This window comes from Homo sapiens, chromosome 2, assembly GCF_000001405.40.
Source record: "Homo sapiens chromosome 2, GRCh38.p14 Primary Assembly".
Taxonomy (NCBI): Eukaryota; Metazoa; Chordata; class Mammalia; order Primates; family Hominidae; genus Homo; species Homo sapiens.
In genome coordinates this window covers 120,060,894-120,078,702 of record NC_000002.12, presented here as the reverse complement: position 1 = coordinate 120,078,702, position 17,809 = coordinate 120,060,894, and the positions used below count along the sequence as shown (strand labels likewise).

At 37.8% G+C, this 17,809-nt stretch overlaps 1 protein-coding gene across 13 annotated transcripts in view, besides 1 other annotated feature; it reads right to left on the bottom strand.

The window, feature by feature from the left end:
• Positions 1–17,809, bottom strand: part of EPB41L5 (erythrocyte membrane protein band 4.1 like 5) — a 166,043-nt gene that overhangs the window by 100,417 nt on the left and 47,817 nt on the right. For all 13 annotated transcript variants that reach the window (NR_138472.2, NR_135920.3, XM_047445208.1 and 10 more), the window contains 7 exons: positions 5,483–5,525; positions 4,525–4,603; positions 3,183–3,227; positions 2,950–3,002; positions 1,612–1,732; positions 1,387–1,474; positions 122–210 (listed from right to left, as the gene is read on the bottom strand). Coding sequence is in view for 11 of the 13 variants with exons in the window: in XM_047445208.1 (XP_047301164.1) it covers positions 122–210; positions 1,387–1,474; positions 1,612–1,732; positions 2,950–3,002; positions 3,183–3,227; positions 4,525–4,603; positions 5,483–5,525 (518 nt within the window). In the remaining 2 variants the exon portion in view is untranslated. The remainder of the gene's footprint in view (positions 1–121; positions 211–1,386; positions 1,475–1,611; positions 1,733–2,949; positions 3,003–3,182; positions 3,228–4,524; positions 4,604–5,482; positions 5,526–17,809) is intronic.
• Positions 9,837–10,424: an enhancer, noted in NCBI's record as "H3K27ac-H3K4me1 hESC enhancer chr2:120825855-120826442 (GRCh37/hg19 assembly coordinates)". NCBI's record gives its function as "activates a minimal SCP1, AML or CMV promoter by ChIP-STARR-seq in naive H9 embryonic stem cells {active_cell/tissue: H9 hESC(naive)}" and the evidence as "EXISTENCE:reporter gene assay evidence [ECO:0000049][PMID:30033119]".

Below are 17,809 nucleotides of genomic sequence, written 5' to 3'. Positions count from 1 at the left end.
TTGCTTTCATTGACAAGTTTTTCAAAACTATTTGATTTCCAAACTTGTTTATGTATTAACTTTATTTACTCATTAAAAACCAAAACAACAGTAAGTATCTTTGACAATAACTCTTGCTTACCAAAAAAATAAGCCAATTTTGGTATCTCCTTCAAAAACAAGGACTCCTGTTGGTGTTAGTCCCAAACTATAGTCATTCCCATCTCTAGCCTAATTTAAGGGGAGAAAAATGTGTTAGCTTTATTTGTACAAAACAGGTTTCACATTGACACAACTTTTAAATTTTATTTTTGTATTGAATTGTATTAATTATATACAGGCTAATATTAATATATGAGATGTTTTCAACAATTAGAGTATCCATAATAATATTCTCAGAAAAATTTATGCATATATTTTTATTTCTAGTCATTGAAACACTAGAGTTTTAAAGTGTATCTTCATTGAAAGTGGGTAGTTACACTCCCACTACAAACAAAGCTGTTTCCACATTCTTCCCATATTATACTTACCACTTAAATCATGTATTTTGGAAAAGACTGCTGATACGGTTTGGCTCTATGTCTACACCCAAATCTTGTGTCATATTGTAATCCCCAGTATTGGAGGAGGGGCCTGGTGGGAGGTGACTGAATCATGGAGACGGACTTCCCCCTTGCTGTTCTCATGATAGTGAATGAGTTCTCACAAGATCTGGTTGTCTGAAAGTGTGTAGCACCTCCCTCTTTGCTCTCTCTCCCTCCTGCCAGCCATGTACAGATGTGCCTGTTTGCCCTTCACGTTGCCCAATGATTATAAGTTTCCTGAGGCCTCCTGAGAGGGAGAAGCCTGTACAGCCTGCAAAACCATGAGCCAATTGAACCTCTTTATAAATTTATGTCTTTATAGCAGTGCGAGAATGAACTAATACAACCGCCTTTCTGGAAAAATGTTACTAGTTAAACTAGAAATAACTTAAATCACTACAAAGCTGTTCTAAAGTTTATCAAAGTCTTTAAGCTATAAATCTTCAACTTTGCATCCTGAATTATTTTAACAGAGCCTACTCAGTGTAAGTCGTATAACAGGAAGTAAAAAGGATAACAAATGGCTCAAAAGCTTAAAACAATTTTTTATAGCAAAAAAATAAAATAAAATAAAATAACAGCTTAAAAGGACCAAGTACCTTGTTAGGGATGTTGGTTGCTTCTCTTCTTTCTTATAATGAACCTTTCTGTGAGATTCTAGTCATTTGGTATTTAATCTCAAACTTTTTAACCATACATCCAAAGTACCCAGTGCTAGCTTATGCAAACTCCATGCCCTCCCTCATACTGAAAAATTCCACAGTCACTGCGAACCTCCAAAGAATAAATTTTTAAAAAAGCATCACAACACAATGCTTACCTTGACCACATGCATATCAACCCCATACATTTCTAGCCATTTGGCTTTATTCAGATAATTGGTTTCAGCCTGTGCTGGTGTTTGACCTCTGAAATTTAAAACAATGATTTTTAAAGTAACAATAAATATAAAATAAATTCTATACCAAGGATAGAAACAGAAGAAAATGAATATGAAATAACTGTTGTGGTGATTTTAAAGAAAGTATGGTCAAACGCCAGATACCTGTATTCCTTCCATTTCTCAAAAATAGCCAGTTCCATCTCTTCAGTCTGAATAGGCACGAATCTGAACTCTGAGACAAGTTCAGGACTATGCTCAGCAAGATCATAGTCACCAAGTTCAGCTATAAACATAAGTTTCAAAAGTTATATGTATTTCCTGCTAAATCCTTCAAAAACCATTTCATTAATGAAAACTGCTAAGATTAGAAAGATTCTTAGGAATTTCTTACAAAAATTCATAATACTCAGACAAGTCTCCAAAAGTAAATCTGGCATATTAGTCATACACATATATCTCATATTTATTTTTGGTAGTGTATTTTTAATTACATATCTTTCTCTTAATGTATTCACACTTCAGTGCTTACTTAACCTTTGAAAACTGCTTTCTAGACTTCCATAAAGAAATACCTCTGACCTTATAGTGAATAAATGAAAAAATTTAGCAATCGTTAAAAGACAATTAACTGGCATCTATTAAGAATATTACTAAGGCTGGGTGTGGTGGTTCATGCTTATAGTCACAGTACTTTGGGAGGGCTGAGGTGGAAGATGGTTTCAGGCCAGTCTAGGCAACATAGCAAGACCTCGTCTCTAAAAAAAAAAAAAAAAAAAAAAAAAAGTACAAAAATTAGCCAGGCCTAATGGCCTGTAGACCCAGCTACTCAGGCAGGAAGATCGTTTGAGCCCAGTAGTTCAAGGCTTCAGAGAGCTACAATCATGCAACTGCCCTCTAGCCTGGGGACAAGAGTGAGACCCTGTCTCAAAAAAAAACAAAACAAAAGAATATACTGATATACACTGAATATGACCCCATATACCAATCTAAATATAGTCCCTGTCTTCCAAAATTTTAAAATTATTAATCCTAAAGAAATAACTGAAAGGAACTAAAAAAAATCGGGGGGAGAAAGCAGCAGGGAAAAATCTGAACAATGCACAAACATGTATGTACTCATCTGTGGTTATTTCTGAACAAAATGTAGGTTTGGAGCAAAAGGACTGCTAAGCTATATGGCTTCACCAACAATTCACTCCTACATAACTGCATTTCTTTTAAGGAAAAAGTTAGCCGAAGGCCCAATCTTAGCATTTACAGACTTATCAGGTAGAGTATGACGTTTCAACACTTTAGGTGGAAAGGGCGCAATTACATGAAAGAGAAGAAAAAGAAGGCAATGTTCTAAAACAAGTAAAAGTCAGAGTTGGACCCTGATACAAGTTTATACAAAAACAGTGTTGTTTCTTTTCTTGCACATAATTAGAATCTTCTTTAACTAAAAACACACACAAAAAAGATTATACTTGAGTCTTAACAGTCAACATAAGAATTGCTTACCTTGCAGATTATAAGCTGCCAATTGCACTGCTGTATCAAAGGGACAGTCTAATCTGAGACCAAAACACAAGTTTGTTAGACAAGTTGATTTCATAACCTTCATTTTAAGACAAATGAAAATAATACATGTTTTATGTTGACCATTTCTTTTTTACAACTATAAACTTATTTTCAAAATAATTTTTCAACCACTCACGAAAATGTGCATTTATCCTTAAATAACTAATACTCACTTTCCACTGAGAATATCTTGTTTTAACTGAAGAACAAATAAATACCTAAGAAAAATGAAAGGCACAAATTTAACCCAACAGCACAATCGACTGTGAAAAAAAATCTTACACTTCTAACTTGAGAAGTATTATTTCATTAAAAATTACTTGTATTAATGTATAAAAGATGTGCATAGTTTGGGGATACATGAAATAATTGAATACATTCATATAATTTGTAAGGATCAAGTCAGTATACGTGGGGTATCCATCACCTTAAATATTTTTCTCTTCTTTATGCTAGAAATATTTGAATTATTTTCTTCTAGCTATTCTGAAATGTAAAATACGTAATTGTAAACTATAATCACCCTACTGATCTAACACTAGATCTTAGAAGTATTCTTAATTAAAGGCCTGGTGCAGTGGCTCACACCTATAATCCTAGCACTTTGGGAGGGCGAGGCGGGTGGATCACTTGAGGCCAGGAGTTCAAGACCAGCCTGGCCAACATGGCGAAACCCCGTCTCTATTAAAATACGCAAATTGGCTGGGGGTGTGAGCACGTGCCTGTAATCCCAGCTATTTGGGAGGCTGAGGCATGAGAACTGCTTGAACCTGGGGGAACAGAGGTTGCGGTGAACTGAGAACATGCCATTGCACTCCAGCCTAGATGACAGAGCGAGACATCTACTTGTTATGTGAAGGGATACAGACATGGATATAACTACAGATGATAGCTACTATCTCATTGTCAAGGTGTTCTAAAGGAAACCCTTCTAAAGGAACTCAAAAGCTCAACTTTTTCATTTAATAAATAGTATGTGTATATGGAGCAATGAATTTATAATAGAGACCATGAATAAATACAAAGGAGGCAGGATAACATTAAAATAAGTATATACAACATAAGGTTTATTCAAAACTATTCAAACCAATCAGAATCTAATGTTTTTCATTAATCAATGGCATTTCAATGAGTAAAGAAAGTTGGGCGCCAATTTGAATAAACTCCCTGTGGCCAAAGATAGATTATTTTCAACATCAATAAATATAATATTGCAATGTATTGAAACATGTGAATCCTGTTAACATTCCTGAGTTGAGAGTGATACTTAAAAAAAAGAACTCACTAGTCACCTTTGGAGGATGCTAAGAAACCAACTCTTTATTTTGAAAATGCTAAAGGAAAAGAATCATACACTTAAAAAACACGTCCCAGAATAAAATTCTATTATTTGAGGTCTTGTTACCAGGGGACAGGAATCCATTTTATTAGCTGGCTATAAATTGGAAACAATATAAAGACAGTCTTTCAAAACTATCAAAATAACCCTGGCACAATTCTAGATGGTGTTCTTACCGGGTTAGCTCCTCACGAAGGTTATTTGGTTCTGAGGAATAAAACTTAACTCGAAGATGCAGACAATAGGGTGAACCAACTGTCATTTAAAAAAAAAAAAGGTTTTAATAAAATAAACTACTTAAATAATACTTTTCAGCCAGAAAACTGGTCAAAAATCTACTGAAGTGAGACAAAAGATGAGGTTTTTATGGCATTATTGCAGGTTAGATCATAGGCTTCAATTAGATTGTTTTTTAATGTACCAAGCCATCATATTACTATTAACTCTCATCCCAAGAATAGACAGCTATAGATTAATTCTAACAGTTCAGAGCCAAATGCATCAAATAAAAGTCTTGACTGTGCAACCTAACAGCCCTGAAAACCTGCTACACTGAAGAATGCCTATGTTATTAACTGCTCATGGTGAATCTTCCCACACAAATACAATTCAGCAAGTTCACTAACTTCTATAATCTCAGTGGTCTCATTATTTTGAGACAAGAGTTGAGGTGCCCTAATAAGTCTGATAAAAAGTCAAGTTGGATAATGAATAAACAATGGTATTCTCTCTCTGAATGACACTAACATTTTATGTGAATTGTTTCATTTTTCTTAATTTTAAAATATCACAAAGTCTCAAAATACTTTCAATATTAGGGCAGATGCCAAACAGGAAAATTCCAACACAACTAATTAAAAAATAACCATTAAGCATTTCGGGGAAAGTCAATCCCATTTGCAAGCTGCAAGGTTTTCTCCTGGAAAGTTAAGCCCCAATGCAGTTTAATCTAGATTAGTATCAAGCCTACATGACTTGGGGAGTAGCTCAGTGTATCAGAATAAAATAATTTCTAGAAAATGGAAATGCTAAAAAACTCATCTGAAACATGATTTCTTACATCCTATTAGAAATCAGAATTTCTAATATATTCTATTTCCTTTCCCCCCCACAAATAATTTTGTCTGCACTTACTTTTTACTTGCTTTTTGATGCTTTTTGTACCATCCAACCAATGCTGAAAAACAAAAACAAAAATTTAGTTAAGCAGATGACAGAACTTTAAAATTTGAATGAATTACTAAAAGTTACTTTTCATTGTGCCTACACTGATAACCGCAAGGAAATACTTCACAAGAGAAAAACCCAAGTGAATGAGAAAAGAGGTGAGAAGGAAGAGTATCTAGCCAATATCCACCATAGCAAGCTTATGACACACGTGAACAAAAACGACCTAAAACCTGACAGATGACTTTTTTTTTTTTTAAATACTTTAAGTTCTGGGATACATGTGCAGAACGTGCAGGTTTGTTACGTAAGTATACACATGCCATGGTGGTTTGCTGCACCCATCAACACATCATCTACATTAGATATTTCTCCTAATGGTATCCCTCCCCTAGTCCCTCACCCTCCCAACAGGCGCCAGTATGTGATGTTCCCCTCCCTGTGTCCATGTGTTACCATTGTTCAACTCCCACTTATGAGGAAGAACATGCAGTGTTTGGTTTTCTGTTCCTGTGTTAGTTTGCTAAGAATGATGGTTTCCAGCTTCATCTATGTCCCTGCAAAGGACATGAACTCATCCTATTTTATGGCTGCATAGTATTCCATGGTGTATATGTGCTACATTTTCCTTATCCAGTCTATCATTGATGGGCATTTGGGTTGGTTCCAAGTCTTTGCTATTGTGAACAGTGCTGCAATAAACATATGTGTGCATGTGTCTTTATAGTAGAATGACTTATAATCCTTTGGGTATATACGCAGTAATGGGATTGCTGGGTCAAATGATATTTCTGGTTCTAGATCTTTGAGGAAATCACCACACTGTCTTCCACAATGGTTGAACCAATTTACACCCCCACCAAAAAAAGCATTCCTATTTCTCCACATCCTCTCCAGCACCTGTTGTTTCCTGACTTTTTAATAATGGCCATTCTAACTGGTGTGAGATGGTATCTCATTGTGGTTTTGATTTGCATTTCTCTAATAACCAGTGATGATGCGCTTTTTTTCATGTGTTTGCTGGCCATATAAATGTCTGCTTTTGAGAAGTGTCTGTTCATATCCTTCACCCACTTTTTGATGGGGTTGTTTTTTTCTGGAAAATTTGTTTAAGTTTCTTATACATTCTGGATATTAGCTCTTTGCCAGATGGATACATTGCAAAAATTTTCTGTACATTGTACATTTTGTACATTGCCTGTTCGCTCTGATGATAGTTTCTTTTACTGTGCAGAAGCTCTTTAGTTTAATTAGATCCCATTTGTCAATTCTGGCTTTTGTGGCCACTGCTTTTGGTGTTTTAGTTTGAAGTTTTTGCCCATGCCTATGTCCTGCATGGTACTGCCTAGGTTTTCTTCTAGGGTTTTTATGGTTTTAGGTTTTACACGTTTAAGTCTTTAATCCATCTTGAGTTAATTTCTGTATAAGGTGTAAGGAAGGGTCCAGGTTCAGTTTTCTGCATATGGCTAGCCAGTTTTCCCAACACCATTTATTAAATAGGGAATCCTTTCCCTATTGCTTGTTTTTGTCAGGTTTATCAAAGATAAGATGGTTGTGGATGTGTGTTGTTAATTCTGACGCCTCTGTTCTGTTCCATAGGTCTATATATCTGTTTCAGTAGCAGCACCATGTTGTTTTGGTTACTGTAGCCTTGTAGTATAGTTTGAAGTCAGGTAGCGTGATGCCTCCGGCTTCGTTCTTTTTGCTTAGGAATGTCTTGGCTATACGGGCTCTTTTTCAGGTAGCTTGATGGGGATACCACTGAATCTATAAATTACTTTGAGCAGTATGGCCATTTTCATGATATTGATTCTTCCTATCCATGAGCATGAAATGTTTTTCCATTTGTTTGTGTCCTCTCTTACTTCCTTGAGCTGTGGTTTGTAGTTCTCCTTCAAGAGGTCCTCCACATCCCTTGTGAGTTGTATTCCCAGGTATTTTATTCTCTTTGTAGCAATTGTGAATGGGAGTTCACTCATGATTTGGCTCTCTGTTATTGGTGTATAGGAATGCTTGTGATTTTTGCACATTGACTTTGTATCCTGAGACTTTGCTGAAGTTACTTATCAGCTTAAGGAGATTTTGGGCTGAGATGATGGGGTTTTCTAAATATACAATCATGTCATCTGCAAACAGAGGCAATCTGACTTCCTCTCTTCCCATATGAATATGCTTTATTTCTTTCTCTTGCCTGATTGCGCTGGCCAGAACTTCCAATACTATGCTGAATAGGAGTGGTGAGAGACGGCATCCTTGTTTTGTGCCAGTATTCAAAGGGAATGCTTCCAGCTTTTGCCCATTCAGTATGATATTGGCTGTGGGTTTGTCATAAATAGCTCTTATTATTTTGAGATGTTTTCTATCAATACCTAGTTTATTGAGAGTTTTTAACATGAAGGGCTGTTGAATTTTATCAAAGGCCTTTTCTGCATCTATTGAGATAATCATGTGGTTTTTGTCATTGGTTCTGTTTAGCTGATGGATTACGTTTATTGATTTGCGTATGTTGAACCAGCCTTGCAATCCAGGGATGAAGCTGATTTGATTGTGGTGGATGAGCTTTCTGATGTGCCGCTGGATTCAGTTTGCTGGTATTTTATTGAGGATTTTCGCATTGATGTTCATCAGGGACAGTGGCCTGAAATTTTCTTTTGTTGTTGTTGTTGTGTCTCTGCCAGGTTTTGGTAACAGGATGATGCTGGCCTCATAAAATGAGTTAGGGAGGCGTCCCTCTTTTCCTATTGTTTGTAATAGTTTCAGAAGGAATGGTACCAGCTCCTCTTTGTACCTCTGGTAGAATTCGGCTGTGAATCTGTCTGGTCCTGGGCTTTTTTTCATTGGTAGGCTATTAATTACTGCCTCAATTTCAGAACTTGTTGTTGGTCTATTCAAGGATTTGACTTCTTCCTGGTTTAGTCTTGGGAGGGTATATGTGTCCAGGAATTTATCCATTTCTTCTAAATTTTCTAGTTTATTTGTGTAGAGGTGTTTACAATATTTTCTGATGGTAGTTTGTATTTCTGTGGGATCAGTGGTGATTTCCATTTTATCATTTTTTATTGTCTATTTGATTATTCTCTATTTTCTTCTTTATTAGCCTGGCTAGTGGTCTATCTATTTTGTTAAAATAGAGCTTCCTTCAGGAGCTCTTTACAAAAAATCAGCTCCTGGATTCATTGATTTTTTGAAGGGTTTTTCATGTTTCTATCTCCTTCAGTTCTGCTCTGTTGTTAGTTATTTCTTCTGCTAGCTTTTGAATTTGATTGCTCTTGCTTCTCTAGTTCTTTTAATCGTGACGTTAGGGTGTCGATTTTAGATCTTTCCTGCTTTCTCCTGTGGGCATTTAGTGCTATAAATTTCCCTCTAAACACTGCTTAGCTGTGTCCCAGAGATTCTGGTATATTGTGTCTTTGATCTCATTGGTTTCAAAGAACTTACTGATTTCTGCCTTAATTTCATTATTTACCCAGTAGTCATTCAGGACCAGGTTGTTCAGTTCCCATGTAGTTGTGCTATTCTGAGTGAGTTTTTTAATCCTGAGCTCTAATTTGATTGCACTGTGGTCTGAGAGACTGTTTGTTATGACTTCTGTTCTTTCACATTTGCTGAGGAGTGTTTTACTTCCAATTATGTGGTCAATTTTAAAGTGTGATGTAGTGATGAGAAGAATGTATATTCTGCTGATCTGGGGTGGAGAGTTCTGTAGATGTCTATTAGGTCTGCTTGGTCCAGAGCTGAGTTCAAGTCCTAAATATCCTTGTCAATTTTCTGTCTCATTGATCTTTCTAATATTGACAGTGGGGTGTTAAAGTCTCCCACTATTAATGTGTGGGAGTCTAAGTCTCTTTGTAGGTCTCTAAGAACTTGCTTTATGAATCTGGGTGCTCCTATTTTGGGTGCATATATATTTAGGTTAGCTCTTCTTGTTGCGTTGATCCCTTTACCATGCCCTTCTTTGTCTTTTTTGATCTTTGTTGGTTTAAAGTCTGTTTTATCAGAGCCTAGGATTGCAACCCCTGCTTTTTTTTTTTTTTTTTTTTTTTTTTTTTTTTTTTTTTTGAGACAGAGTTTCACTCTTGTTGCCCAGGCTGGAGTGCAATGGCATGATCTTGGCTCACCTCAGTCTCTGCATCCTGGATTCAAGAGATTTTCTTGCCTCAGCCTCCCAAGTAGCTGGGATTACAGGCATGCGCAACCTCACCCGGCTAATTTTTGAATTTTTAGTAGAGACAGGGTTACTCCATGTTGGTCAGGCTGGTCTCGAACTCCCAGCCTCCGGTGAACCACCCGCCTTGGCCTCCCAATGTGCTGGGATTACAAGTGTGAGCCACTGTGCCTGGCCAACCCCTGCTTTTTTTTTTAACGTTCCAATTGCTTGGTAAATATTCCTCCCTCCCTTTATTTTGAGCCTGCGTGTGTCTTTGTCCGTGAGATGGGTCTCCTAAATACAGCACACCGAGGTGTCTTGACTTTTTATCCAACTTGCCAGTCTGTGTCTTTTAATTGGGACATTTAGCCCGTTTACATTTAAGGTTAATATTATATGTGTGAATTTGATCCTGTCATTATGACATGGGCTCTGCCCAGTCCGAACTTCCTGGCGGCTTTGTTTATACTGTGAGGGGAAAACCGCCTACTCAAGCCTCAGTAACGGCGGACGCCCCTCCCCTCACCAAGCCTGAGCGTCCCAGGTCGGCTTCAGACTGCTGTGCTGGCAGCAAGAATTTCAAGCTAGTGGATCTTAGCTTGCTGGGCTCCATGGGAGTGAGATCCACTGAGCTAGACCACTTGGCCCCCTGGGCTTCCTGCAGCCAGCTCATTGCCTGCCCAAACGGCCACCCAGTTTTGTGCTTGAAACCCAGGGCCCTTGTGGCGTAGGCACCCGAGGGAATCTCCTGGTCTGCAGGTGGCGAAGACCATGGGAAAAGCGTAGTATCTGGGCCGGAATGCACCGTTCCTCACAGCACAGTCCCTCATGGCTTCTCTTGGCTAGGGGAGGGAGTTCCCCGACCCCTTGTGCTTCCCGGATGAGGCGATGCCTTACTCTGCTTCGGCTTGCCCTCCATGAGCTGCACCCATTGTCTAACCAGCCCCAATGAGATGAGCTGGGTACCTCAGTTGGAAATGCAGAAATCACCCGCCTTCCACGTTGATCTCACTGGCAGCTGCAGACCGGAGCTGTTCCTATTCGGCCATCTTGCCAGCCATCATGTGACTTCTTAAAACACTTCCTCTGCTCCCTCAGTAACAAGGATGACATGCTAAATTTTGCCCTTATTTCCCTCACTTTTCCCAAATAAATGACTCTTGCAAAACTGTTAAAATTAGAGAAAAAAGTATCCCCATATTCCAGTGCCTGATTCATTCTTATAATAAAATGTAAAATTTATTAGCAGATTATAACCAAAAATTAGGTGAAACAATGTCCCCCAAATTTTACAAAACAGATGCTCCTCAGAGGTAGTACTCTTTAAAAGAACCTTCAGAGTAAAATTAGATCTTTCTCATAATCAAGGTTCTATCTATTAAATAAAGAAGTCTTTGTTCCACAAATAAAAAATGTTAACATTGTGACTATGAGACTTCGAAATGTCCATGACACAAATAGACCTAAAAACCTATTCCAGATATTTCCACTGATAAACCATTCCCAGCTCACTTCTCATTATTAATTCCTTTATGCCACCAAGTCCTAACAGTGACAGGACACACACATCCAACTAAGATATACGTGACTGTGTTCTCTCTGACATGCTTTCAATTCCAAGCACTCTAAAGGAAGGCTAACTAGTTCACAGAGCCAAGGAATCCAATTTCAGAAACGCAGATAGGCAGAGTGGGTAAACAAAGCTGCACTGTAACTGTTTACTTTTCTTGCCAATTATTTGCCTAGCTGCTTCTCTCCATTCTCCAAGATCCAAAAGTGCAATTCACTGAACTATCAGTGTGGCAGCAAAATACCTTTCCATGTTTAAATAAAATGTTCAGCAAATATTTTTTAAATGCTATGCAATATTTTCTTGAGATTTCAAGTGCGCGGGCTACTGTGCCATCTCTCATCTTTTAATAAATTCAGTTGGACATCTACTTTTAAGCCTATTTCAATCTAGCAATCTTTAATCTTTCAATCTAGGCTGGCAAGATGGCCGAATAGGAACAGCTCCGGTCTGCATCCTTCCATTAACAGAACACTAGGCCTGCCAGTAGCAAAAAACAATTCAATTTTCTTTCAGTAGAAAATTCTTCAACCTACAGCAGTAAACAGTTCATCCATCACTGTCCAGCCCAGAAATCCAATATCCAAATATTCCAGACTTAACTGACACAAATACCTACTACAGCCTGATGCAAATCACATACTGAGTAAGAGAAAAAACTAGTTTTCATGCCCCAGATTTTCTCCCCAAAACCATGGAACTGGGAGTTGTCCTATATTCCATGGCTGGTCACCTGGGCACTATTTCATGTAGCCTCTCATCCACCATAGTGAGTGCAAATGAGCACAACCCTTCCAGGAAGCAATCTGACTAGACAGTAGATAATGTCTCAAAAATAACTATGTGCCTTCAACCCAGCAATTCTACACCTAGAAATCATTATGGATGTGTGTAGATTTACCTACAAGAAATTTCATCAAAGAAAATTAGGACAGCCTATGTATCTAACAAGAGTGAACTGGTTAAAGCATTTTAATATAATAGAGCACTATATATCCACGAAAAATAATGAAAGCAAATACTTAAGAATTTGAAAAATTACTTACATTGTTAAATTTTAAAAGGCAGGTTATTAGACATTATAAATTGTTTTGTCAAGATATACAATTTTCTATTAAATACATATTTTCATTCACAGAGATAATCTGTAATAATAATGTAACAGAGATGTTATCTCTCGGCTGGTTGAAATTGCGAGTGATTTTTTTTCTTCCTTGTGCTTTCCTATATTATCCGCTTACTCCACAATGAACACATATTACTTAAGGCAATAATCATGGACCCCCTTATTTTAATGTTTTATATAGGTAATATATTCAAATGGTTTAATTTTTTAGTAATATTAAAAACTATATGGTCATCAGTTCCCCCCAGTCTCTGCCCCCTATTACCCACACCCCATAACACAGGCACTCCTCCTCCCCAAGATGTTACTGGTTTCTCTTGATTCCTTCCAGAGTTTCCTCAAACAGGGAAGAAGAAAATTTTTCAAGTGTGTGAGTATGTGCACACACATGTGTGTTGGCAGAGTGAAGAACATTATCAGTGGACTGAAAATTAATAGGCTAAATATAAATTTTGACAGAATAAGTTTTCAGGGATATAAAAAGAAAACAATTTTTTAAAAAATAGAACACTATTTCAAGAACAATCTCAGCCGGGTAAGGTGGCTCACACCTGCAATCCCAGCACTTTGGGAGGCCAAAGCGGGCAATCACCTGAGGTCAGGAGTTTCAGACCAGCCTGGCCAACATGGTGAAACCCCATCTCTACTAAAAATACAAAAATTAGCTGGGCGTGGTGGCAGGCGCCTGTAATCCCAGCTACTCGGGAGGCTGAGGCATGAGAGTCGCTTGAACCCAGGAGGCAGAGGTTGCAGTGAGCCAAGATTGCGCCACTGCACTCCAGTCTGGGTGACAGAGTGAGCGAGACTCCATCTCAAAAAAAAAAAAAAAGAACAATCTAAAGTCTTTCTTAGACAGTTATAACTTAAATTTCTCCCTGTTTAAAACTATTTAGGACTAGTCTCACAAATATACCTTTCTAGTCTAACTTGTCACAGTAGCTCTTGCTTATAATCATAGCTACTCAGGAGGCTAAGGCAGGGGCATCGTTTGAGGCCAGGAGTTTGAGACCAACCTGGGCAACATAGTAAGACCGGTCTCCAAAAAAAAAAATTTTTTTTTAATTAGCTGAGCATGGTGGCATATGCCTACAGTCCCCCAGTTATTTGGGAGGCTGAGGCGAGAGGGCTGCTTGAGTCCAGTAGTTTGGGGCTTCAAGGGAACTATGATACTGTACTCCAGCCTGGGCGACAGAACAAGACCCCATCTCTAAAATGTAAGTACATAAATAAACATAAAATCACCCTAGTGAGAAAAAGGATCATAGTTATCTTCCAGGCAGGCATTTTCATCTCTTTTCTACTTATATATAATAGTTTCTAATACCTGCACTCCCTTAAGATGACCCAAAACTCAGATAAAGCATCAAACACATGTTAAAGTGAGATTTAGGAGCTGTGGGAGTTCTGGGTGATGTTCTTCTGGGAAAGGTCTGGGTTCATGTTTGCATATTCTCAAGTCTGTTTTCTTTCATCTCCTCCACATTCCAAGACCGAGGCCTGGAAAATTCAGGCCTCAGAGACAGGCACTGATAGTGTTTTCCTTGAATCAGGGTCTTTAGGAGTTGAGTTTATATTACACTAGAAGATAAAAGTGAAAGCACACAGATATAGATTACTAGTAAGATTCTCTTTCTTCACTGTACCTTAAAAAGGAGACAACTTCCCTTCTATTTCCCACTTTTAAAGTTTAATTGATAAAGATATATCAAAGGATGTAGAAAGCCACATTTCTTAGCATCCTATCGAACTAGGCATGGAAGAACAATTATCTACTTGTATCTTAAAATATAAATAATATGTAACCACAAACATAACAGCCATAAGTAAACCAAACAAAGAATCAGGTAGGGAGTGTCCATAAAACACTAACATATACATACCCTCACCCCAGACCCTATTGTTAAATATGGTCTGTTAACAGCTCTTCAAATCAATGACTCCTGCCTTCTAATCACTTAACCTACATGTCTCTAATAAAGAAATGCACCACCACTACTCTTGCTCAAAGACAAAAGAGCTTATAGTAGAGAAATGTTAACCATCTTTCAAACCAATTGCCTCTGCAAAAAGATACTTCTGTGAGTAGAGGTTTATGCTCTGAATTAAAGAATTATCTTAAAACAAATTTTTACACTGTGAATAATCTTAAAAGTTAAAAACCTATACTAAGGAAAGAGAGGATGAATACATAGCGTTACTGTGTTCTAACTGAAAACACTTCAATTTGATCTAGATTCCACTATAAACTTCCTGAGTGACTACTTTTTTTGAGTTAACAGTCTGTATTATAAGACATTCCAAATGAAGACTTGTATCACCATTAAAATATATCTTCCACTGTGCCTTTCTGCATATTATTAGCATGCTCTAAGGATTTTTGTTTCTTTTTTCTTTTTTTTTTTGAGATGGAGTTTCACTCTCGTCACCCAGGCTGGAGTGCAGTGGCGCGATCTCGCCTCACTGCAACCTCCGCCTCCCGGGTTCAAGCGATTCTCCTGCCTCAGACTCCTGAGTAGCTGGGATTACAGGCGCCCGCCACCACGCCCGGCTAATTTTTATTATTTTTAATAGAGACAGGGTTTCGCCATGTAGGCTGAACTTGAACTCCTGACCTCAGGTGATCCGCCCCTCTCGGCCTCACAAAGTATTGGGATTACAGGCGTGAGCCACTGCACCCGGCCAGGAATTTTTTTTTAACCTTTATTTTAGATTCAGGGGTACATGTGCAGGTTTGTTATACAGGTAAATCGCATGTCATGGGGGTTTGGTATACAGGTTATTTTGCCACCCAGGTAATAAGCATAGTACACTCTATAGGGGTAATATGGTAGTTTTTTCACGAGTTATGTAGGTTATATATTCACTTTCCAGAGATAAAGTACATAATCTATTTTGGAAACACACTTTAAAAAGGGAGACAGCATGCTGCCAAAATTGCATAGGAGCTCACTAGGTTTTGATGGTCATTTTTACACTTAATTCACTTTTTTTTTTTTTTTTTTTTGAGACAAAGTCTTCTCTGTTGCCCAGGCTAGAGCGCAGTGGTGCGATCTCAACTCACTGCAACCTCTGCCTCCCTAGTTCAAGCAATTCTCAAGTCTCAGCCTCTCAAGTAGCTGGGACTACAGGCGTGAGCCACCACACCTGGCTAATTTTTTTTAATTTTTAGTAGAGACAGGTTTTCACCAGGTTGGCCGGGCTAGTCTTGAACTCCTGACCTCATATGATCTGCCCACCTCAGCCTTCCAAAGTGCTAGGATTACAGCTGTGAGCCACCACACCCAGCCCACTTATTTTATTTTGTTCAACCATGTATCTATTTACAATATAGTCGAACTCACATTCTGACCACTTCAAAATACCCTCTATTTTAAAACAGCTAAACACATTTTTAGAACCCAGTAAAAGTTCATCAGAGCCTTATATGATCTTATTTCCCACACTCCTCATCACTATTTTTAAACAGAATCCTCTGTGGTATTCAGTCCATATCTTAAGAATCAAAATAATAAATTCAAATCCAGTCTCTAGAAATCACTAGACCTCACTTAAACCTTTTATTCTTCACAGGAGATTTTTCTGAGGATCAAATTAAAAAACTATTGCCTCAAACCCCATAATTATTGAACAAATAAAATGAATTAGATCTACATTTCTTTAAATGAATTATTGAATATTCATAATACAGCATTTTCTAATGTAGCAATAAATATTAACTGAAACAAAACAACACTATCTAGATAAAAGAAAACATACTGTTACTTTCATACACTGATAAGTTTAATTTGTAAATATAATCAAACAGCTTTAAACTCTCTCTCTTTGACCTGATGATTCCATTTCTTCTAATTTATTTTAATTTTTTTAAAATCCAGAATACTGACAAGGATTTACAAAGATGATCAACTTCAGAATATTATTAGCCATAAATTATAAACAATCATTATTGGGCAGCAGTAAGATCAGGAGTTTTCCTGAAAAATTCAACAAGGTCATCCTTTTCTAGACTTACTCCTTCAACTTTTTAGTTCTTCCTTGTTCAGCAAATATGTGTGTTACAATATACACATATATACATTTAACATGTTATTTATTTCTATGTTTTTCACCTCCCACTATCTTACTGAATCCTATTGTGTTCTCAGTTGAATCCCTGAATACAATGCAATCATTTGCCAGTGATAATTTTATTTCCTTCTAATCTTTATAATTTTCTCTTCCATAACTGCATTTGCTGGTACTTCTACTATGAAATTAAGTAGCAATGGTAATAGTAGGCATCCTTGTCATCTTCTTCTCTTTATTAGAAGTGCTTATATTATTAATCTAGGGATCTCAAAAAAATCAAAATTCAGTATAAAAAATAAAAAATGGAGAGCTAGTGAGCAACTACCAGCTCTATTCTCCACAGGTGCCACATGTTGGACCATCTGTCTACCCATGCTTACATCAAGAACCAAGGAAGTTTTGAAAAAAATTACAGAACATAAACAAGCTTTCCAAACAATTTAAGAAAAAGACAAAACATAATTAATACTGACATCTTAAAATTCTTTAAGTATTTATGAGAAATGCTATCTACGTTTCCCTTTTCTAAAAGCATAATATACAGTATCACGTTATACAAGATACACCTGATGCATGATACCTACCATCTAACTAACTTATTTTTCTTTAAAAACTTCACTGAATAGGCCGGGTGTGGTGGCTCATGCCTGTCATCCCAACACTTTGGGAGGCCGAGGAGGGCAGATCACCTGAGGTCAAGAACTCGAGACCAGCCCACCCAACGTGGTGAAACCCTGTCTCTATTAAAAAAAAAGGCCGGGCGCGGTGGCTCACGCCTGTAATCCCAGCACTTTGGGAGGCCGAGGCGGGCGGATCACGAGGTCAGGAGATCGAGACCATCCCGGCTAAAACGGTGAAACCCCGTCTCTACTAAAAATACAAAAAAATTAGCCGGGCGTAGTGGCGGGCGCCTGTAGTCCCAGCTACTTGGGAGGCTGAGGCAGGAGAATGGCGTGAACCCGGGAGGCGGAGCTTGCAGTGAGCCGAGATCCCGCCACTGCACTCCAGCCTGGGCGACAGAGCGAGACTCCGTCTCAAAAAAAAAAAATAAAAAAAAAAATACAAAAAATTAGCCAGGCATGGTGGTGTGTGCCTGTAGTCCTGGCTACTCGAGGGGCTGAGACAGAAGAATTGCTTGAACCCGGAAGGCAGAGGCTGTAGTAAGCTGAGATCACACCACTGCACTCCAGCCTGGGCAACAGAGTGAGACTCCTTCTCAAAAAAAAAAAAAAAAAAAAAAAAAAACTTCCCTGAACCAGTTAAAATTCTAATCTCTATATATAACCTTTTCAAACTTCACCAAGCACAGATATATATTTTTGAGGATTAAATTTTGCTCCCGAGACATGGTTTGCTTGTTCCATGCTATGTTTATTTTTTAAG